Source organism: Homo sapiens, chromosome 16 (genome assembly GCF_000001405.40).
Source record: "Homo sapiens chromosome 16, GRCh38.p14 Primary Assembly".
Lineage (NCBI taxonomy): Eukaryota > Metazoa > Chordata > Mammalia > Primates > Hominidae > Homo > Homo sapiens.
The window spans coordinates 70,773,695-70,796,013 of record NC_000016.10 but is presented as its reverse complement, the minus strand read 5'-3'; the positions used below and the strand labels follow the sequence as shown (position 1 = coordinate 70,796,013).

The window sequence follows — 22,319 nt, the reverse complement described above, 5'->3', positions numbered from 1 at the left end:
AAGATGCCAGGCTGTCTTCCCAGAAGAGTCTAATGTGGGGGAGAAATGCTAGCAGGCACTCTGATCAGTGTGGTGGGTGCTCGCTCTGCCAGGCATCATGGAGGCAGGGCCCCCACTGTCTCACTGCTGGCTGGGAGAGACAGCGCCACTCATGGTCAAGTCTCTAGTGGTCCTGAGCTTTGAGTTCCATCTGTGGTTCTACCTCCCTGAACGCACCTGATCTTGTTTTTGAACTTTGAGTTCAAAGCCAGCAAATGTAACTCTCCTGCTAGGTGGCCCAGGCCATGCCCCCTGAGAGCCCAAAGCCCCAGGGAGGGCTGCTGGGAGCAGAGCTCCTGAATCACGCCTCCCTGCCTGCTGGCTGTGGGGGAGGCGAGTCCCTGGAGCTCTGTGAACAGGTGAAAGTTGAACAGGTGAAGGTTGACCTGGTTCTTCGGAGCCTACCACCTCTGTGGGGAAGGTGCCAGAGTCATGTATCGCTTCAGAGGGATGCATTCTTTTTTTTTTTTTTTTTTTTTTAGACAGAGTCTCGCTCTGTCGCCCAGGCTGGAGTCCAGTGGTGTGATCTCATGGCTCACTGCAAACTCTGCCTCTCAGGTTCACGCCATTCTCCTGCCTCAGCCTCCCTAGTAGCTGGGACTACAGGCGCCCACCACAACGCCCGGCTAATTTTTTTGGTTGTTTTTTGTTGTTGTTGTTGTTTTAATTTTTAGTAGAGATCGGGTTTCACCATGTTAGGCAGGATGGTCCCGATCTCCTGACCTCGTGATCCACCCGCCTCAGCCTCCCAAAGTGCTGGGATTACAGGCATGAGCCACTGCGCCCGGCTCAGGGGATGCATTCTGAGAAGTGTGTTGTTGGGCAGTTTCATCATTGTGTGAACAACATAGAGTTACTCACACAAACCTAGATGGTGCAGTCTGCCACACACTAGGCTATATGGTAGAGCCTATTGTCCCTAGTCTACAAACCTGCACAGCATGTGACTGCTGAATAGTTAGGCAGTTGTAACACAGTGGTATGTGTGTACCCCAATATATCTGAACATAGAAATAGTATAGTAAAAATATAACATTATCATCTTACGGGTCCACTGTGGAATATGCAGTCTGTTGTTGACCAAAATGTCCTTATGTGGCACATAACTGTATTTATTACCCAGTGGCTCAAGGTAATTTTTGGAGTGCAGGTCAGAATTCCACCCAGCTTGGCTGTTTATCAGCAGTGGGACCCTGTTTAAATTGTTTAATTCCGGGGTCACAGGCTGGCCCCTGGGGGCTGTGACCTACACGCAGACCTGTTTGGTTTGGCCTGGATCACAAAGTATTTTAAATTGAGAAATTTCACAGTGAAATTCAGGTTTCTGGATTATCTTACGGACTTGGGAGATGTGGCTTTGGGGGCCCGCATTCCTGCAAAGCAAATCGTCGGGAGCTTTGCCACCTGTTGGCAGATTAACCAGAGCCTGTTTTACCTCCTGGCTTCCCCCATATCTCCTGCCTGGCCCGTGTGGGCATTTGAGTTTATGATCTCTGATTTAACCTCTTTGTGCCTCAGTTTTCTTATTTTAAAAAAAAGCCCCTTGAAAACATTATGCTAAGTGAAAGAAGCCAACCATAAAAGGCCACATATTGTGTGATTCTATTTGTATAAAATGGCCAAAATAGGCAAATCTATAGAAACAGAAAGTAGACTCGGGCTTGCCTAGGGCGCGGGGGAATGGGGAGTGACTGCCAGTGGGTGCAGGGTTTCTTTTGGGGATGGTAAAAAAATGTTCTACAATTGACGGTGGTGATGGTTGCACAGCTTCGTGAATATACAAAAGGCTGCTGACACCTACACTCTAAAAGAGTGAATTTATGGTATGTGAATTGTGTCCCAATATTTAAATTAGTGCTGTTTTGTTACAGTCTGAGGGAAGCACTTATTCAGTAGTCACAACTACTGTCACCCGAGATCAAAACAAGCCTCCTGCTGTCACTGACTCTTGCTTCTCCTTTGTAGTTTTTTCCACTGGTTGGATCCACTGTATGCTCAGTACATGCTCATTCCTACGTCATATCTGCTCATTTCTAATCAGTTCATTCCTAGGTCCAACCTAGGTTGGTTGGTGGGTGCCCAGCCAACATTTATGGAATGAGCACAACCTCGTGTGCTATGTATAAGATCACAGCTTGTCTCTGATTCTGACTTTGCACTAATACTGTTATTTGAGCATGTGCAGTACAGAGCACAGAATGCAGTTACCTAATTTAATTCTCTAAAAGCCCTGTAAAGTCATTGTCATGATTAACCCACCTACAGCTGAGGATGTTCCCTCTGAACACATGGGAACCTGAGTTCAGTGGCTAAAACCTCTGCCACCTAGGACAGAGGTTGGGACATAGGGCCATCACCAAATGACATGGGATTGGAGTTAAATGAAATCATGTGCCTGGCACACAGTGGGCACCCAGCTGGTGGTAGCTGTGCTATTTGGGGAGGGGCTAGTCTAATATAGTGGATAAGATTTTAGATCTTGGGGTTAGAAAAGCCTAGATTTGATTTTTAGATCCATCATCTACAACTTGCATGACTTTGTGTATATTTCTTAACTTCTCTGAGCCTCAGTTTCCACAAACTGTAAAATGGGTGTAATGGTACTTAACTCAGTGGCTTGTTTTAAGGTTTCAATTAGACCCTGTATGTAAACATGCAGCACGTTGCCTGGCAAATAGTAAGTACTCAGCTGATGGTTACTCACTGTGTCCTGCGTTCACAGAAGACCAGCGCTAGAGCCTCATTTCAAAACATCTCAAGTAGGCACCTCCTCTGTACTCCCTGTGTATGGAAGGAGTGCCTTGGCGATGACCGAGCACTGTGTGAAAGTGTATAGAGAAAGCTACGTTTCACTTGGGGGCCTTAGTTCTGCACAAGGGAATTGCCATCTGTAATTGGGTGCAATTGGTTTGCAGCTGAAGTGGCTTAGGGAGATGGGAGGGAGGGACTGTGACATAGTTGAAGGGATATGGACTTGGTAGATGTCAAGGGTTCAGACCTTTGGTGACCGTAGGAAAGGGGCTTGATTTACTGTTTCAGATCTGGAAGATGGGAGTGAAATAATAATAGCTACAGCAGGAGGTATCGTCGGGAATAACTGACCCCTGGAATACTCAGCAGAGTGTGAGTGCTTAGGAAGTGGTCAACTCAATAGTCCTCATGTGACCTGTGACAGTCTCTTGCGACTGTCACTGTGCTGTGGTACAGAGTTAAGCTAAGGGGTCCTGTGGCTGTGCTGGATGGCCCCAGGCTCTCCCTTGGCTCATGAAAGTCCAGATGTGTCTTGCAGTGTCCATGGCTGCTTCTCCTGTCAGGTAGTCAGTGTGGCAGTCTTTGAGACATTGAGGGTGGCGTCAAGAGCATGATGTTGGCCCCCCTTGGGGCTTGTATCTTCTGGGGAATGGGTGTTCCTGCCATCCTGCAATGCCACTGGCCAGCTGAGAACCCAGGCTCTGAGCAGCCTCTAGAGGACACCTCTCCAGCCAGGGTTCTTTAGCACTTTTTGGAGGAAACCAGGCAGAAGTGGATCCCTGCTCTGGTGTATAAGACAGCGATGTCCATGCCCTTCACATTAGTGAAGGTCTCCAGGGATTTGTGATCGTGAGAGTTTCTGGGCCAGATACTAACTTCAAAACTAGTTCAGCCTCAGATCCCCCACCTCTGGCTCCCAACCTGTAGATGAAAGGAGGGATAGTGTGGTCTTTTGAAGAGACACTAAACCTGGAACTGGGGCTGCCCAGGTTTTCAACTGCACTTACTCTGCTTCCCCTTGTAGTTTCTTTTTTTGTCTCTGCACTTGCCCTGTGAAGTAGAGACCACACCACAGGCTGGCTGACTAGGGCAGTTCTGGAGCACCTAGCGAGGGGTTAGAGGACGCCTTCACCTGTCCTTCAGGCGTCATCCAAGCCGGTGCACCTTTCCCCGGCCAGCAGCCACAGCTCTGGTGACCTGAGCCCTTCTTGATGTGCATTTTTGGGTCCTAGTAATGGTGCCCTTTGCTCCTGCTAACCTGGACTATAAGAGTAGAGGGTGAGGACCGTCCAAATGCAGTATTGATTAACCCAGCAGGTTAGGTTTGGGTTTGCAAAGCACTCCCATGTCACCAATATGGCAGTGTGGGGTCTTGCCCAGGTTTTCCCCACAGCTCAAGCTGCCTGTCACCCCTGCCCGTCTTGACAAGTGTTTCCCCACCTACTGCACTCAAAGTTCTGAACTCGGAGAGAGGCCTAGTGCTAGAGATGCAGACACATGGTGCCAGTCCTCAAGGACTTTATCAAGAAGTTGTGGAGGGTCCAGGCATGGTGGCTCATGCCTATAATCCCAGCACTTACGAGGCCAAGGTGGGCGGATCACTAGAGGCCAGGAGCTCAAGACCAGCCTGGCCAACATGGTGAAACCCCGTCTCTACTAAAAATAGAAAAAATTAGCCAGGCGTGATGGCAGGCGCCTGTGACTCCAGCTACTCAGGAGGTTGAGGCAGGAGGATCGCTTGAACCTGAGAGGCAGAGGCTGCAGTGAGCCGAGATCGCACCACTGCACTCCAGCCTGGGCAACAGAGCGAGACTCTGTCTCAAAGGGAAAAAAAAGTTGTGGAGGTAGGAATCACGCATGAGAAGGAATTAGAAGGAATTTACCTGCTGACATTCGACAACATGTTGCTGGGCACAGAATGAGGGGTCCTGAGTCCTTCTGCGCTCACTTCGTGGGATCATCAGGAAAGGCAGGGGGTTGGATTTGAGCTGAACTTTGAGGGCTGGGTAGAATGTTTAAGGGACCAGGAGCTTTTCTAGAGAGTGGGCAGATGGGAGGTGCAGCATGGGCCAGGCAGGGCGCAGTAAGAAGGCAGGCCTGGCTGGAGTAGAAGCCTGTGCTGGGAGCCCAGCAGGAAGGCTGCAGAGGTCAGAGGTCGGCCTGGCCCTGTTTTGCTTGCCCCAAGTGTCAGATAAGTAGGGTAGGCTTGATTCGTGGAACAGATTCTTCCTGCCGGTGGCCCAGGGGTTGACCCCAGGCCCGGTGCTCTCCAGACTGACATATTGGTAAGGACGTGTTCCATGGTTTTCCCTCCAGCCATTGTTTGTCTGCCTGACGCCTGTTTTCCTGGAGATGAAGAATATTCTACCCTTAAGTGCAGGGGCGGAAACAGTAGAAACTTGGAGTTCCTGGGGCCACAGGGCCTGAATGGGCTGTCATTTTTGTAGTGGCCTGGGGTGCTCTGAATTGAGTCCTAGTAGGACTCTGGTGGGGGAGGCCTTCCGGCTGGTGCCAAGCAAGAAGACATTTGCTCTTTGCAAAGGTGAGGGGGTGGGGAGGGAACGCCCAGCACAGAAATCCCCCTTGCCTCCCTCAGGAGGCCCTGTTACTTTTGCAGGCTGTCACTCCGACATCAGAGCCACTTTCCTCGTACTCTTCAAAGCTTCCTAAGTGCCATTCAAACCCATACCACCCACTGGGGCAGACTGCCCTTCCTAAAGTTCACATCACGTGCGAGCTCATGGTCTTCTGCAGCTCCTCACATCCACCGGGGCTAAATGCCAGTGCCTTTGCCAAGTGTCCAGGGTCCCTTGCTGCATGACTGGGAGCAGCTTTTCCAACCCTGTCACCTACTTCCCCTCCACCTGTGGCTTTTCTTTCTGCCAAACCAAATGCCTGCTCCTCCTTCCTCTGAGCCTTTGTTCAGCCTCATCCTAACCAGCTCCAGAACGAACACCTACTCATCCTTCAAAACCCGTCTACAATGCTGACCCTTATAGAGCCCTAGTACATCCCTGCCTGGCAGACACGGGTCGTTCTCTTTCTGGCCTGCCCCGAGTCACCTCATGCCCTTCTTACCAAGTGTTTTTTCTGTTTGCACAGTATTCCTTAAGCCCTCTCTTCTTTCCTCCTCTTCCCACGCTGGCAGAGAGCTCCTTGGGGGCAGGGAATAGCTCTCATCCACTGGTCATCGCACAGGAGGAGTCTCCTGTCCAGTTGCTCGGGGAATGTTTGTGACCTGAAACAAGGAGACAGGAGAGGAGGTGGCTCCAGGGTGGCCTTCGCTGCCGTGCAGGTTGGCTTTCCTTTGGACCCCTTGCTGAAGCCTCGAGGATGTCCCCACTCCCACTCCTAGTGTCGCTGTAACTTGTGCCAAGCGGAAACATGTCCTGGCTTCCTGGGCAGGCGTGGGGAGGCACAGCTGCTTTAGCGGGCCTAGGTGCATCCCACATCCTGGATTCTTCAAGAACAAGGAGACCAGGTTCTAGATCTTTGCAGAATTTAGGAAAATAAGTGTTTTCATCAAAGGCATTTGAAATCCAACTAGAAACAAGTCATTCTCAGTTCTCAGAGTGGATTTATAAATTCTTTAGGCAGTGTGAAATCTCAAATTCAGTCTCTCACGATTAAACTAAAGGTCTGCTGCTGCATTGGCCGGGAATCGAACCCGGGCCTCCCGCGTGGCAGGCGAGAATTCTACCACTGAACCACCAATGCCCCAGATGTGAGCAGCTGTGTGCGCACCTCCCTTTAACCCCATTCTTGGGCCTCCTTGCATATAAGTTGATTAACAGAATATGAAGCCAGTCTCTGATGCTGCCACATCAGCACAGTTGCAAGAATGGAACACTCAGGCTGCAGAGCAGGAGGGAGAAGGCAGGAAGCAGGAGGGTGTGCGTGTCCAGTTGATTTGCCTTCAGACCTTGTGACAGAAACTAGAGCTTGAGTCTTTCTTGGTAGCAAAAGTATATTAAAACTTTGGGGGGCTTTTTCCCCCTCTGATGTTTGAGTCCTCCCACCGCCTTCTGTGTTTAGTCTTGTGTTAAACTGTGTTACTGTTTGAGTCCTCCCACCGCATTCTGCGTTTAGTCTTGTGTTAAACTGTTACTGTTTGAGTCCTCCCACCACATTCTGCGTTTAGTCTTGTGTTAAACTGTGTTACTGTTCTCAGGTTTCATGCCAGCTTCCTGCGGAAGACTGGCCAAGGCTGAGGACAGCACAACAGGAGTCCCCTTAAGGTGAAGGCATCAAGTTCATGGCTCCACAGCCATAGTGAGTGTTTCTCTGGAGAACCCAGCAGCTCTCATGTGTGCACTTAGCAGGGAAGTGTGGTTCCAGATTTGTGGGCACCCTTGGCTGCTGCAGGTCTGGTGTAGTTGGAGGGACTGACTGGCTCCTCTAGCAGGATCTCTCTGTGAGGAAAACTGGCCAGCAAAAGGCAGAAAAAGCAACACTTCATTGCATTGGCCAGGAATCGAAGCCCGGCCGCCCGCATGGCAGGCGAGAATTCTACCACTGAACCACCAATGCTCCAGCTGTTTGGTAGAGCATCTGCAGGGCTTTTGGCAAGGGGCTGTGTCTGTCAATACTTAGGCACTCTGCCAGATGATTGGGTCTCACCTGGCTGGTTTGTCCAGTTTGGGAGACCAAACAAGTTGATGTAGAACCATCCTTGCCAGGCCTTAGTACGCTGTTTTGAGAGTTGAGGCCTATGAACTGGAGTTCACATTCTATCCAGAGGCCCTGGGTTCATCCACAGTCCCAGTCCCATAAAGACGAAAGCAAGGGGCAACTCACAGGCCACTTGTACAGCTCCTTCCTGAAGCATCCATCTCCTCTCCAACGTCCACCAGCCCAGAGCGAGACCTATTTTGTCACCTCTTGCGTGAACAGTGCCTGGCGCATGATAGGTGCTCCATATGATTGGCTGTATTAAATCTTTACCGAACCACTGCCCGGTCCCTCTTTGAACAGCCTTTTTGCCGGAGTGCTCACTGTCTCACAGGACAGCACCGTTGGTTTTAATTACTAGAAAGTCCCAGCTCTAACTATTAGAAAGCTCCTGAGCTGGAACCACACAGACTAATGGACACCTTTTGGACATGACTGTTCTTAAAATTCTTCAAGTCAACTTGAGACCCCATTTGTGGAACAGGTGAGCAAGATACCTGCCATGATTTGATGCAAAGCAAGGAGAGAGAGTGCCTGCAGTTACTTTTTAAAGTCTGAGGTCTCTAGACTGCCCTTTTTCCACCTTCAGTGGCTCCACCAGTGTCATCCCTCACGCTTCCTGTCCTCATTTCACAAGCATCTCCAGGCTCCTTAAGACAGTCTTTCATATGCCCAGCTCCCTGGTACATGAAATCTATTCTTCTAACTGGAGATTCCCCAGTTACCACCAGCAGCCCATCCCGCTGCTGTACTGTTCTCTGGGGCCCCAGACAAGGTTGGCTACTTCCGCATCCTCACCTCTGCTACCAGGGTTCCTTTTGCCAGGAAGGCCCGTTTCTTTCCCTTCTGCCTCCTTGAAGATCCGGCTCCATCCCACTTCCAGGAAAACTCCCCTGACCACCCCAGCTGCCTCTCCTCCATCAGTGATCTGGGGCACTCCTGCCACCACATGCCATGTGAGATTTGGGAGGGCAGAGGCCTGGCCTTTGTGTCCATGGGGCTCTGAAAACAGACTAGTCTGTTGTGGAGCCAGGCCTCCCTCAGCTCCTCCACTCAGGGCAGGGCCTGCCTTGGGAGTCATCCTCCCTGGGTGACCAGCAGCCCCTCCCTCCCATGAGGGCAGCCTCCCTCCGACCTGCTCCTCTCCCTGTCAGCATCACTGTCCAGGGAGACACCTGGGGGCACTGTCTACCCTACCCTCCTCTCTCCTCTTATATCAGCTATTAGTGCTTTTCCATTTAATTCTAGAAACAGTCCCTGCTGCACTTTCCCACTGCCTCAGTCACATTTCAGGACCACCTTACCCCATAGCTACAGTGTTCTCCTGAACGTCCCCGGCATCAGTCTCCCGTCAAACCCATGCCTGCCCCAGCCCAGCTTCTCCAAGCCACCACCAGAGATGTCCAGTTGGAACATGGGGCTGAGCGTGTCATCCCTTGCTGGAAAACTTTCACCGGCTCATCTTTTCTTTACCTGTCTCTAGCCACTCCTTCCACACGCTGGAGCCCTCATCCTGTCCCAGATATGCCATGTCAGCTTGCGTGGCCTTGGCCAGGCTCTTCCCTATGCCCGAGGTGCTCTGCCTTCCTTTCTTTACCTGGAAAGTGCCTGTTACTGTTTTTAAGATCTGACTCAGCCGGCACCTCCCTGTAGCCCTCCTGGACGGCCCGAGGAGACTGAGCCCATTGCCTTTTCTTGCTTCTGTGATATCACTGGTGCCACTTTGCTACAATTATTTGTTGGCATGTGGCTCTTACCCATTACACTGGGGCCTGATTCAGCTATGTGTCCCAGCAACGTCCCTGGAAATAGTCGCTCAGACGCGGAGAATTTCTGAGATGCACGAATGGAAAGCTGAGTAAGTGTTGAATAAAGACAGTTGATCAACTGATAATGCATTGCACTTTTTTGGTCCCCAGTGACACATTGATTTGCATTCTCTCAGATTCCCAGAAGTGAGATAGCACCACTGTTCCTTATTCCATTGTACACAAAGGGAAACTGAGACCCAGAATAGGGAAACAACGATGACTCAGCCAGCAACAGAACTGAGACCTGCCCTGAGACGCCTGTCTCCCATTTCCTCTTTCCAAACAGGTCATCTCCCTTCCTCATTGCCGCCCCAGGCCCTGGAGGCCACAGCAGAGGTAGCCTGATTCCCACAGCCCCTCTCTCCTCTCTCTCCAGGCTGGTCCGGGAGTTCGTGGCCCAGAACAATACCGTGCAAATCAAGCATGTGATCCAGACCCTGTCCCAGGAGTTTGCCCTGTCTCAGCACCCCCACAGCCGGAAAGGGGGCCTCATCGGCCTGGCCGCCTGCTCCATCGCACTGGGCAAGGTGGGCCTTTCACCCAAGGGACAGACATACCAGTCCTGGCCTTGACGCTGACCAAGCCATCCCGATGCCTTCCCTGTCAAGACCCAGTAGGGCATTGCAGACCTATGTTTTATTACCACTCTGTCCGCACCTGAGACCAGCAAGGCTGGCTTTGCGGCCTTGCAGCCTGGTCCCCTAGGCATGGGCCCTCTCCTGGGAATGAGGCTTGGGAAGGGTCTTTGAGCCCAGCCCTCACACAAAGGCCTGAGCACCTTCAAGGGAGCTGGGATGTCAGCTGGCACTGCAGGCTGCAGGGCCTGGGCTCCAACCCATTCTGATCTGTCTTCTCCTCCTGCCTCCTTGCAGGACTCAGGGCTCTACCTGAAGGAGCTGATCGAGCCAGTGCTGACCTGCTTCAATGATGCAGACAGCAGGCTGCGCTACTATGCCTGCGAGGCCCTCTACAACATCGTCAAGGTGGCCCGGGGCGCTGTGCTGCCCCACTTCAACGTGCTCTTTGACGGGCTGAGCAAGGTAACCGCCCTCCTCCTCCTCCTCACTGAGCTGCGCTTGGTTCCCCCACCTCACTTGACCTTCTGGAACCTTGGACCCCTTTTCCCAGATGCAAGCAGAGCAAACAAGCATGTGGCTGCAAGGGACACTTACTGTCTGTTGAATCTAATCATTTTTAATGGACTTGCATTTATACCTTTTTTCATTTCTCTTTTAATTCATTTTGATTGCATTTGATATAAGTATCAGTCTGCCATACAGTAGAGGGAAGAAGCTGATAGTCTGTGAAACACTCGCCTCCCTGGTAGAAGGGGATGATGCTGACGCCATCATCCAGACCGTACTTTCCCTTTAGGGAGGGCTGCACTTAGTCTAGCTCATAAGTGCCCTAGAAAAAGCTCATGCTCTCCTCCGTGCCTCTTGCAGCCTGGTGGAGTTCCCTTCCCAGGCGCGGAGCAGCCCTGCAATGCTGCTGCCCCTGCAGAATGCCACGGAAGTTTCTAGAGTATCAGCCTCGCAGCTACCCTGTCCCCTCCTCCAGGAGTGGAACAAGGACCCAGCGCTTTAAGATTGGAAACCCCTGGGGAAGGCTGACGGGAAGCAACCCCGTGACCCAGTCACAACAGGGAACAGGAACCCCAGCGGGTCATGGGAGAAGTCCCTGAACAGAAGGGTATTTCCTGAATCTGCTCCTCAGCCAACTCCATTGTACCCACTCCCACTTTCCCAGCCTTTCTCAAATGTGTTCACCGAAAGGGTGATGTTCTTGCTAGATGTTCTGGGCTGCACCAAGGCCTCGGCTGCGGATTTGCAGGAAATCCCTGGTCTTGCATCCAACCGTGACCCTCGCCTCTGTGTCCCTCCCCTGTCTGTGCCTCTTGCAGCTGGCAGCCGACCCAGACCCCAATGTGAAAAGCGGATCTGAGCTCCTAGACCGCCTTTTAAAGGTATTTGTACTTTGTCCCCACTTTTATTTCTACAATCTGTTTCTCCCGTCTGTCTGTAAAGCTTAGAAATTCTGTCATTGGGAATGTTCTTCTTGAATTTAAAATATATTTTAAATTTACATGTACTCCCTGGTGTGCAGTTCTATGACAAGAATATCGAGCTCAATCACCACTATCAAATACAGAACTGTGCCATCACCCAAAATGTCCCCTTTTGTTGCCGCCACCTAGAGCAAAGAAGCTTGCCTGTCACTTTCCACACCTCTCTGGCCCTGACAGCAGGGGCCTGGGCATTCCATCCAGACCACAGAGAGTAGGGTCTTGCCATTCAGTTGGTTCTCTCGACTTTGCTTCCTGCTTTCAATCTACCCGTTTTTCGTATCCCGTGGACTGGGACAGGATGAATACTCCAGAGACCTCTTATGCCTAGCTCAGGATCTGCCATTTTCCTTGGTGGCCGCCTGAGCGCTGGAGCCAGCCCTGGGCAAGTGATTCAGCGAGGTCAGGCAGCCCTGGTCTCGGGCTCTCGGCAGCTCACTTTCCTCTGATCCACAGGACATTGTGACTGAGAGCAACAAGTTTGACCTGGTGAGCTTCATCCCCTTGTTGCGAGAGAGGATTTACTCCAACAACCAGTATGCCCGGCAGTTCATCATCTCCTGGGTAAGGCCTGGCCGGACACCGTTTCTCCAGCCTCCAGTTTGGAAAATCTGCTCTCTAGCACACTCTTGTCAGGCCCTTTGGCTATAGGAACCCTCCATGTTCTCCCTTGAATAGCCATTAACACCTGATAATTCAAAAACACCTTATTCAGCTTTGCCCCCGAAACCCACCATGTTGGCCCTGAAGGGATCAGGTTCTTGTTGCCCTGGAAGGGAGTCCAGTTCTTTCCTTGTCCCAGAAAACACCTGAGTTTCCTTTAAAGCCAGCAGTGCTACTTCCAGCAATCTCACTTTTTCTAGCCTTTTCTGTCCTTCCCCATCCATCCCCTTCTCCCCTGGGCATCCGAATTTCCTTAGAGTCAAATTGCCATTCCCCTGCACATTAAACAAGAAATGCTGACTGTCCTTGCCAGCACCCTCCTCCCACATGGGACACCTGCACTGCAGGGAAATGCTGTCTCAGCAGGGTCCCCTTCCTACAGCCCAGTCCCAGAGGCTTGGTGAGCAGGAAACAGGGTTCTGGAGCTGACTTCCCCTCCTGTTCCCTTCCCCTGGTCAGATCCTGGTTCTGGAGTCGGTGCCAGACATTAACCTGCTGGATTACCTGCCGGAGATCCTGGATGGACTCTTCCAGATCCTGGGTGACAATGGCAAAGAGATTCGCAAAATGTGAGTGGAGTAAGGGGCAGGAAGCTGCTGCCTCCTGCCACCCCCAGCTGTGCCCATGTGCTTCATGCCCACAGAGAGGCCGCGGCAGGAGGGCAGGAAATCACCTCTTCTTCCTGGCTCTTGTGCTTCCCGCTTTGAGGAGCCAAGAGCCCATCAACCCCCAGCATCTGAAAATGATCACCTGACAAGTCCAAAAGCCAAGCCGCCCTCTGGGTGGCTGACCCAGCACGGAAATGGGGCTGGTTTGAGGCTCCTCCAGCCCTGGCTGACCCTCGCTGTTTCCACTTTCCTGTTCTTGTTCATAGGTGTGAGGTTGTTCTTGGAGAATTCTTAAAAGAAATTAAGAAGAACCCCTCCAGTGTGAAGTTTGCTGAGATGGCCAACATCCTGGTGATCCACTGCCAGACAACAGGTGAGTATTGGGGGAGGGCCCACAGCCACGGCTGCCACTGCTGCTGCCACTGCCACCTCTGCAGAAGCCCCTTTCACCATCTCAGCTTCAGTGAGGGGGCAGGGGAGATTCCTGGTAGGAATATTAGCCAGTGTGACAGTGGGCCCTGGGAGAGGTGGAGTGCTGGGTCTCACAGAGGGAGGTCTGGGTTCTGTCACCACAGAGACACAGAGGTCCTTTCACCTGGTGTGTGTGGCCTGTGTGGAGTAAGATCTGGAGGTTTCCTTACTGGTGAACTTGGCCTTAGCCCTGAGACTTGAAATGCTTGGAGCTTGGGATTATGTATCTGTTCACTTCTGCTGAGTATCAAACCACCACAAAACGTCATTCCCTAAAACAGCAGTCACTTATCATAAGTCTGTGGGTCACCTGGGTGGTTCCACTCACCTGGGCCAGGATTGGCTAGGCTCAATCAAGTACCTGCTGTTAACTGTAGGGTTGCTGGGGTGGATGGGCCACAGTGGCCTCACTTATGTCTGGCAGTTGTCTGGCTCATGTCATGCCGGGACCATGGGGGCAGCTGGACCACATGTCTCATCGTCCAGCAGGCTAGCCTGGGCATGCTCATATGGCATCAGTGGGATTCCAAGACAGACAGTAGAAGTGAGCAAGGCCTGTTGAGGCCTAGGCTTGATCCAGCCACATCATCACTTCCACCACGTCTCATTGGCCAAAGAAGCAAGGCCAGCCCAGATTCAAGGGGTGGAGAAGTTAATTCCACTCTTGATGAGAGGAGGAGCAGAGTCCCAGTGCAGAGGGGCAGGGATGCGGCTGCCCTTACAGTCTAGCACAGGATTGTTGCTCCGTCCCAGCCTGTGTCTCCACCTTTGGAAGGCAAAGCACACAGGTAGTAGAGCATTGGTGAGGCTGGAAGCCGTCAGGCGCTTGGGTTCCACAGGCCGCCAGCCCCATCCCACGTGTATGGTCAATGGGAGGGAGCACTCGGGCTGCGTGTGCTGGCCCCTCTGAACCCCCTGATTCCCCTTCCAGATGACCTCATCCAGCTGACAGCCATGTGCTGGATGCGGGAGTTCATCCAGCTGGCGGGCCGCGTCATGCTGCCTTACTCCTCCGGGATCCTGACTGCTGTCTTGCCCTGCTTGGCCTACGATGACCGCAAGAAAAGTATCCTTTGCTTTGGGAGAGAATAATTGAGAGAAGCCCCAAAGGGATTATGAAGTTGAGGGACCCTGCACTGGGGGCTGGGGGCTCTCTTAGGATCCATCACACTTCCATAGTCCCTAGCAGCTCGGGAAAAAGAGATGGAGCCAAACGTGGATTAGGAAAGCCAGGGACCCGGGGCTGATGCTGGCTGTCCCCACACCTTGCCTGGTTACTTGCAGATCTGGAGCAGCTCTCTGGGGCCCCAAAGTTCCAACCCTCTGAGTTCATACTGCCCCACCTTGGGCTGGGGAGATCCTGTTGGTGGGAGGGTTTAGGAAGGGGTCCTAAGAGAAGAAATAGGCGCATTTCACAGGGGCACCAGTATGACAAGGAGAGCAGGGGCTCAGTTCGGACAGCCTGTCTGCCTAACGTAGCCCTGAGACGACTGAGCTCCAGACTAGGAATACGAGGTTCAGAGAAGCCTCCCCTGGCTGGGACCACTCTATATTAACCCATTTTGCGTTGCTATAAAGGAATACCTGAGGCTGGGTAATTTATAAAGAAAAGAGGTTGCTTCAGCTCCCGGTTCTGCAGACTCTACAGGAGGCATGGTGCCAGCATCTGCTTGGCTTCTGGTGAGGCCTCAGGAAGCTTTTAGTCATGGCAGAGGCAAAGAGGAAGCCAGCAGGTCACATGGCAAGAGAGGGAGCAAGAGAGGTGGGAGGCTTTTTGAAAGAACGAGCCCCCTCATGAATAATAATAGAGCAAGAACTCACTCAACTCGCTCAGTACCATGGGGAGGGCACCAAGCCATTTGTGAGGGATCCACCCCCATGACCGAAACCCCTCCCACCAGGCCCCACCTCCAACACTGGGAATCACATTTCAGCAAGAGATTTAGAGAGACAGGCATCCAAATCAGATCACGCTCCTTACATCAGTGGACTCAGGCATCAAAGAAGTGGCCAACGTGTGCAACCAGAGCCTGATGAAGCTGGTCACCCCCGAGGACGACGAGCTGGATGAGCTGAGACCTGGGCAGAGGCAGGCAGAGCCCACCCCTGACGATGCCCTGCCAAAGCAGGAGGGCACAGCCAGTGGTGAGTGGACTCCGTCCCTACACCTCACCTCCTGTCGGGGGCCCAGGGAGCCAGATGTCATAGGAGTTGCCTTGGGGCCTCACTTAAGCAACCAGGACTACTTTATGTATGTCACTCACACAATTGTAGCAGCAACCCAGCGCAGTGGCAGCAGTGGTTCTCCCCCATTCTGCAGACAGGACACAGGGAAGCTGAGTACCATGGCCACACACTCGCAGCTAGTGAAGACTGGAACCGGATTGGAACCCAGGCAGGCTGTCTCCAGCAGCCATGATCTTAACCCTTCCTGCCTCAAAGACCATGAAGCCTTTCCTTCATCTTTTTCCTGGATTCACGGGAAAGAGTTGTTTTCAGGGCAGGAAGGTTTGGAGCATGGGAGGAGTACCAGGATTCAGGGGGCACTTGATTCTTGGCCGTAGACGTCCAGCCACCAAGAAGCCTGGCTGCCTTTACCATGCGGGTCATTCTCAGGGTGGGAGGGTTAAGAAAGCTCTAGCTTCGATTTATTCTGTACTTGAAAATTCTCTTGCCCAAATAAGTGCCTTTAAAAAGTGAAGTTGCTCTGCTCTCCTTTCAGACTCCTCTAACATAATTTTCTTGTTTAGCTGTAAGGTAAAGAAAACTGCATTATAAGAAACCACATTTATGGCCGGGCTGGGTAATCCCAGCACTTTGGGAGTCTGAGGCAATCTGCATGAACTCAGGAGTTTGAGACCAGCCTGGGCAACATGGCAAAACCCCATCTCTACCAAAAAAAAAAAAAAAAAAAAATTACAAAAATTAGCCAGATATGGTGGTGCACACCTATAGTCCCAGCTCCTCAGGAAGCTGAAGCGGGAGGATCACTTGAGCCCAGGAGCCCAGGAGGCAGAAGTTGCAGTGAGCTATGATCACACCACTGTATTCCAACCTAGGCAACAGAGAAAGACCCTATCTCAAAAAAAAAAGAAAAAAGAAACCACATTTATGCCGACTGGCATCTGGAATTTGACTCCAGATGTAATCTAGAACCCTGATGCTTTCATATTTCTTGGGTCTCTGTCCTCACCAAGAGGTCACTGATCAGCTTTGGGTTGATGTCCTCCTTTGCCGAAGCAGCCAGAGTAAACTGAGATATAACCTACTCAGATTTTTTTTTCTAGTTAAATTCCATTTATTACAAATCTAACATTTAGCAAACATCTGTTATACATCAAGCTGTGTTTACCAGACAAAGTCCTTGTGCTCCAGAGGCTTACAGTCTAGTCAAGGAGGCAAGACAGCAAAACAAGACAAATCAACCAGTGGTAAAAGAAATCACAGCATTCAGTAGAATAACCCACAAGGCCATAAAACAAGAGAAACAAGTGAATGACAGTTTCAGCTAATTTGTCAAGAAATTTTTTATAGGGAAGACTAAGCCTACTCAGATCTTTAAGGATAACAGAGTAAGGTCTGGAACCTGCCCACAGGAGCCAAAAGAATTGCTGAGCATTCTCCCATTGCCATTCATGGACTTTTCTTTTGAACAGCTGAGCAGAATGTCAAGCATGCATGCCCCACCTCCTCCCATAGGTTTGGCTGGTAAAATCCAGCAGCTGTCCATGCTGGACCCATCTCAGGTGTCAGGTTACAGCTGTGCCATCACCACTGTGAATCAGAGCAACAAAACAGCTGGAGGCAGAACAGCACTCAGCTGGAGCATTGGTGGTTCAGTGGTAGAATTCTCGCCTGCCACGCGGGAGGCCCGGGTTCGATTCCCGGCCAATGCAGCAGCTGAAAGCTTTTTGGCAGCTCCTGGAAAAAGAAAACTTGGAGAAATAAGTTAACTTGGAGGGATAAGCTAGTGCGGGCCTTCAAAGGGAGGAGCTTTTTTTACTGGGAGAAACTAGAAGACTCGGGGATACATATTTTGTGACCTCTCACTGAAATATGAGTGTTTGATTTTTGTTTTCTAATTCTAATTTTAGAAAATTTGGAAAGTAGAGAAAAATGCAAAGAAACAAGACTATCCCCAAGAGGCAATGAATGTTCAAATTTTGATGTATTTTTTCCAGTTTTTAATATATATACGTAGTTAAGATCATAGAACTTAACACAGCTTCACCTTCTGCTCTGTTTGTTTGAAGTTCACAGTGCCTCTTAATCCATAGTCAGAAAATAGAGTAACAGTTGCCTGGGTTTGAAGAAAAGGAGAATTGGGACTGACTGCTTACAGATGCCCGGTTTCTTTTTGGGGTTATGGAGATGTTCTAGAATTAAATAGAGGTGATGGGTGCACAACTTTGTGAATGTACTAAAAACTACCTAGTTGAACACTTTGAAAATGGTGAAATTTTTGTTATGTGAAATGTTATATGAATTATATCTCAATTTAAAAAAAAAAAAGTCAGTGCCTATTCCTCTAAATTAGAACCCAACAGCCCCTGCCACCTTTCTGCTTATGTGGCAAGAAGTCAAGCCCGCTAGAAAGGAACCACTCCATCCTGTGGGTCGTGGCCTCAACTAAAAACATCCCTACCAGCTGGAGCATTGGTGGTTCAGTGGTAGAATTCTCGCCTGCCACGCGGGAGGCCCGGGTTTGATTCCCGGCCAGTGCAGCCTATCTACCTTTTTAGATGGTTTTCCTAAGCATTTTTTCACACAGCTGCTTGCCCAGGAGAGTATTACCCTAACCAGGATACATTCATGCCTCTTGGCTCTGGATTTTACTGCCTCATAAACAGCATTTCAGCAGATGAAAAGCTCACTTTGTACTAGTTCCCAGAGATGGTAAGAGCTAATTTGGCGCCTTTACATCCACTCTCAGCCCTGCTTAGCTTGTAACTAACTAATCACCAGTCTTTTACCAAGGTGCCCAGGAGACAGTCCCTGCCAGCCGCAGGACAGATAGCTTCGCTGGTCAGGGACAAGTTCATCACAGCCTCTCCTGCTCACTCTTCCCTCTCTGCTCCCTCTGTTCCCACTCTGGTCCACCTGGCTGGAGACAGGACCTCATGCCTGGCCTTCTTTGTTTACTTGTGCTGATCCGCCGACAGCACCACGTTCCTCATGGCACACCTCCGGGCAAGAACCTTTGTGTGTGTGCATATTTGCACCCCTGCCCCACCTCCGCATCTTCTCCCTCCTCCTCTAACCACAGGACCTCCAGTCAGGGCAGCCCCTCATCTGTGCCTCTTCACTTGCTCCGACTCCCCCTTGGCCTGCCACTTGGGGCCATCCACAGCACAGTGCCGTTTCCCTGGTTCTGAGCTCTTATGGCACTTTGCGTGTCCAGCCTGGTCCCCTCCAGGACGTGACCTGATTGTCTCAGGAATGGCAGCAGAGATTCTGGGGTCTGAACAACCTGCCTATGAGTCCTGGCTCTGCTGACTTTATATCTGTTCCCCTCAGACAGCTGCCTACCCTTTCTGAGCCTCAGATTTCTTATTTGTTAAGTAGGGTAACAATAGTAATACCTAACCTATAGTGTGGTTGTGTGTTTCAGACAAAATTTTTGCATGTAAATCGCTTAGCACATGACAAACACTAACGGGTGCTTCAGTGTTGTTTTAATACATGTTTATGGCTGGGCATGGTGACTCATGCCTGTAATCCCAGCACTTTGGGAGGCTAAGGCAGGCGGATCATTTGAGGTCAAGAGTTCGAGACCAGCCTGGCCAACATGGTGAAACCCCGTCTCTACTAAAAATACAAAAATTAGGGGCCAGACGCGGTGGCTCACACCTGTAATCCCAGCACTTTGGGAGGCTGAGGTGGGCGGATCACGAGGTCAGGAGTTCGAGACCAGCCTGGCCAGCATGGTGAAACCCCATCTCTACTAAAAATACAAAAAATTAGCCAGTCATGGTGGTGCATGCCTATAGTCCAAGCTACTTGGGAGGCTGAGGCAGGAGAATTGCTTGAACCTGGAAGGCAGAGGTTGCAGTGAGCCGAGATCACACCACTGCAGCATAGGCAACAGAGCAAGACTCCATCTCAAAAAAAAAAAAACCTGGTAGAATTTTTTAAACAAGACCCACAAGCAAAAATTATTAAAAAAAAAAAAAATTGAAACAAACCATATTTAAATTAAAAACTGAAGGTGGTGTGGTGGTGCGTATCTTTAATCCCAGCTACTCAGTTTGCTGAGGTACAAGGATCCCTTGAGCCCAGGAATTTAAGTCCAGCCTGGGCAATATAGCGAGACCCCATCTCAAAACAAAATAAAATTGGTGTAACTGAAAAAAGGTTAAAAGTTACAAGGCAAGGCCCAGACTGGGAGAAGATATTTGCAATGTATTTTGTCATTAAAGAGTTAGTATCCAAACACAAGAAAGAGCTCTTTTAAGTCAGAAGAAAGAAATGGAAGAAAAATGTGAAAGTCCATGACAGGGCCATTAATCCTTTATGTAACAAATGGGCCAGGTGCAGTGGCTCATGCCTGTAATCCCAATACTTTGGGAGGCTGAGGCGGGAGGATTGCTTAAAGCCAGGAGTTTGAGACCAGCCTGGGCAACAAAGTGAGAGACCCTGTCTCTACAAAAATAATAATTTTAAAAAATTAGCTGGGCGAGGTGGCACACACCTTTAGTCACAGCTACTTGGGAGACTGAGGCAGGAGGATCTCCTGAGCCCAGGAGCTCGAGGCTGCAGTGAGCCATGATCACGCCACTACAGCCTGGGGGAGAGAATGAGACCCCATTTCTAAAAAACAAACAAAAAATGCTACAATAGTTCTTATGGTGGGTGTCATTTTAAACACCTAACAAATGTTAGCTCATTCATTGTCATAGCAAGCTTAGGGTATAGGTACTGTCATTACCCCCATTGTACAGGTGAAGAAAGGCTTTAGAAGGGGTAACTGCTCTTCCAATTTGGAAATACACATAAATTGGTAGAACCTAAAGGACAATACCTATTAAAATAAGAAGTGCCCAATCCTTCCCCTCAGCAGTCCCACCCTGCATGAAAGCACAGGAGAGATGTAAGAGTGAAAATCTGGAGACAATCTAAATTAATTTGAGGCCAATTTCTGATGCCACATTATTTCATCTATAAATGTGGGTATTTCTAAAAGATGCCCTCCAGGGGCATGGAGTCCTGGCTGCTGTTCCAGTCTATCCTGCCCAGCTTTCCCCAGCTTTTCCTCACCTTTCCCCAGGCCCTGGTCCATCAGACAGACACCAGGCTGCCTGGGCCTTGGCACTAGGAGGACGAGCATCTGAGCGGGCCCAGCCCCCTGCCACAGCTGCCCCTGTCCCCTCTGAGCTGCGTCCTGGGTCTACAGGGGGCAGGCAGCAGTACAGACATGGAAATAAAGGCCCCCTTTACTAGGAGAAAAGGTCTATGGCCCGCACCTAGAATAGCACTGCTCTAAGCCATAGGACAGAGTGAAAGATGCAAGTTGCAGAAAATAAGTTTTGTGATCCCGTTTATGTTTACAAAATAAGAAGTAGGACAGCACAAGCCAGCACAAGAGACTTGCCTACCCCGGGGAGCGGTGATGGGCAGGTAGAGAAAAGTAAGATTGAAGATTAAGGAGAGAAAGAGGTTTTGCTTTGTGTTTGAAAATTTTAGAATGAGGATATATTTGTATAATTTAAAACTTTTAAGAGGCCAAGGCTGGTATCATTTGAACAACAATATAAATAATGATCATTTTGATTTGTAACCCACGGAATAATATCAATATCCAGGAGTCCATAATGACATAAATAATTGAATTGATTAATGGTGGAGAAGGGACAGCTCTTCCTTACAGAAAACTTCAGTCAATACGCTGGGCATGGTGGCTCACGCCTGTAATCCCAGCACTTTCAGAGGCTGAGGTGGATCAATCACTTGAGGTCAGGAGTTTGACACCAGCCTGGCCAACATGGTGAAACCCCATCTCTACTAATAATACAAAAAAAAAAATTAGCCGGGCATGGTGGCGCGCCACTGTAATCTCAGCTACTCAGGAAGCTGAGGCATGAGAATCATTTGAACCCGGGAGGCGGAGGTTACAGTGAGCGCCAAGATCATGCCATTGCACTTCATCCTGGGTGACAGAGTCAAACCGTATCAAAAAAAAAAACAAGGAAGGAAGGGAGGGAGGGAGGGGAGAGGGGAGAGGGGGAGAAAGAGAAAAGAAAATTTTAGTCAATAATGGAGGAAAAGGGGAGACAGAAATCACCATCAGGCAAATTCCACAGTAATATTTGTTATAGGCAAGCTCCAGCCCTGAGTGCTGCGGTCAATCACTGGGGACATGTTTGAGGGAAAACAGAATATTTTTCCAATCTTAAGTATCTTCCCCCAAGTTATTTATTAATTACAAACAGAAAAACAGTAACCTTACAGGGGAGAAACCCAGCAGACACTGTGCGTCAGGCGATGAGGTTAACGTCACCAGTAATGAGGCTAACAGACAACACGTTCCCCCGATAGGGTGCACTGAGGCGCAGCACTTCCGTGACATCCCTCCAATGATGCGCAACTCCCTACTCGTGAGAAAACGTGAGACCAACCCAAACGGGGAGACATTCTGCAGAGTGACCAGCGCTTCAAAAGTGTCAAGTTTATGAAAGACACACAGATTGAGGGGCTGCAACAGATTGGAGGAGACAAAGAAGACAGTTTAGCTAAATGCAGTGTGAGATCCTGGAACAAAAGGCCAGGAATGGAAAAACTCGTGATGTTCAAATTAGGGTAATCATTTAGTTAATGGTAGTGTATCGAAGTTAACCTTCTGGGTTTGATCATTGAACTATGGAGCCGGGCATGGTGGCTCACGCCTGTAATCCCAGCACTTTGGGAGGCTGAGGTGGGTGGATCACTTGAGCCCAGGAGTTTGTAACCAGCCTGGGTAACACGACAAAACCCCATCTCTACTGAAAATACAAAAAAAAAAAAAATTATCCGGGCTTAATGGTACGTGCCTATAGTCCCAGCTACCCTGGAAGCTGAGGTGGGCTCAATCTCTTGAGTGCAGGAGGCGAAGATTGCAGTGAGCCAAGGTTGTGCCACTACACTCCAGCCTGGGCAACAGAGCCAAGACTCTATCTCAAAAAAAAATAATAATAATAATAATTGAACTATGGGTATGTACAATGTTAGCATTAGGGGCAGCTGGCTAAAGGGTATAAAAAGAAT

General features: G+C 50.1%; 1 protein-coding gene and 3 non-coding genes across 8 annotated transcripts in view; 3 read left to right on the top strand and 1 right to left on the bottom strand.

The window, feature by feature from the left end:
• VAC14 (VAC14 component of PIKFYVE complex) overlaps positions 1-22,319 on the top strand; it is a 113,720-nt gene that overhangs the window by 5,145 nt on the left and 86,256 nt on the right. For 4 of the 5 annotated variants that reach the window (NM_018052.5, XM_005256038.5, XM_011523225.4 and 1 more), the window contains exons 2-9: positions 9,649-9,799; positions 10,145-10,312; positions 11,176-11,238; positions 11,794-11,901; positions 12,460-12,569; positions 12,875-12,981; positions 14,011-14,145; positions 15,075-15,224. In NM_018052.5, the coding sequence (NP_060522.3) occupies positions 9,649-9,799; positions 10,145-10,312; positions 11,176-11,238; positions 11,794-11,901; positions 12,460-12,569; positions 12,875-12,981; positions 14,011-14,145; positions 15,075-15,224 (992 nt within the window). The remainder of the gene's footprint in view (positions 1-9,648; positions 9,800-10,144; positions 10,313-11,175; positions 11,239-11,793; positions 11,902-12,459; positions 12,570-12,874; positions 12,982-14,010; positions 14,146-15,074; positions 15,225-22,319) is intronic. The other variant, NM_001351157.2, reaches the window with a different exon arrangement.
• On the bottom strand, positions 6,437-6,507 carry TRG-GCC2-5 (tRNA-Gly (anticodon GCC) 2-5). The gene has a single exon. It is a non-coding gene; the product is annotated as a tRNA-Gly (tRNA).
• On the top strand, positions 16,905-16,975 carry TRG-GCC2-4 (tRNA-Gly (anticodon GCC) 2-4). Its single transcript has one exon. It is a non-coding gene; the product is annotated as a tRNA-Gly (tRNA).
• On the top strand, positions 17,733-17,803 carry TRG-GCC3-1 (tRNA-Gly (anticodon GCC) 3-1). The gene has a single exon. It is a non-coding gene; the product is annotated as a tRNA-Gly (tRNA).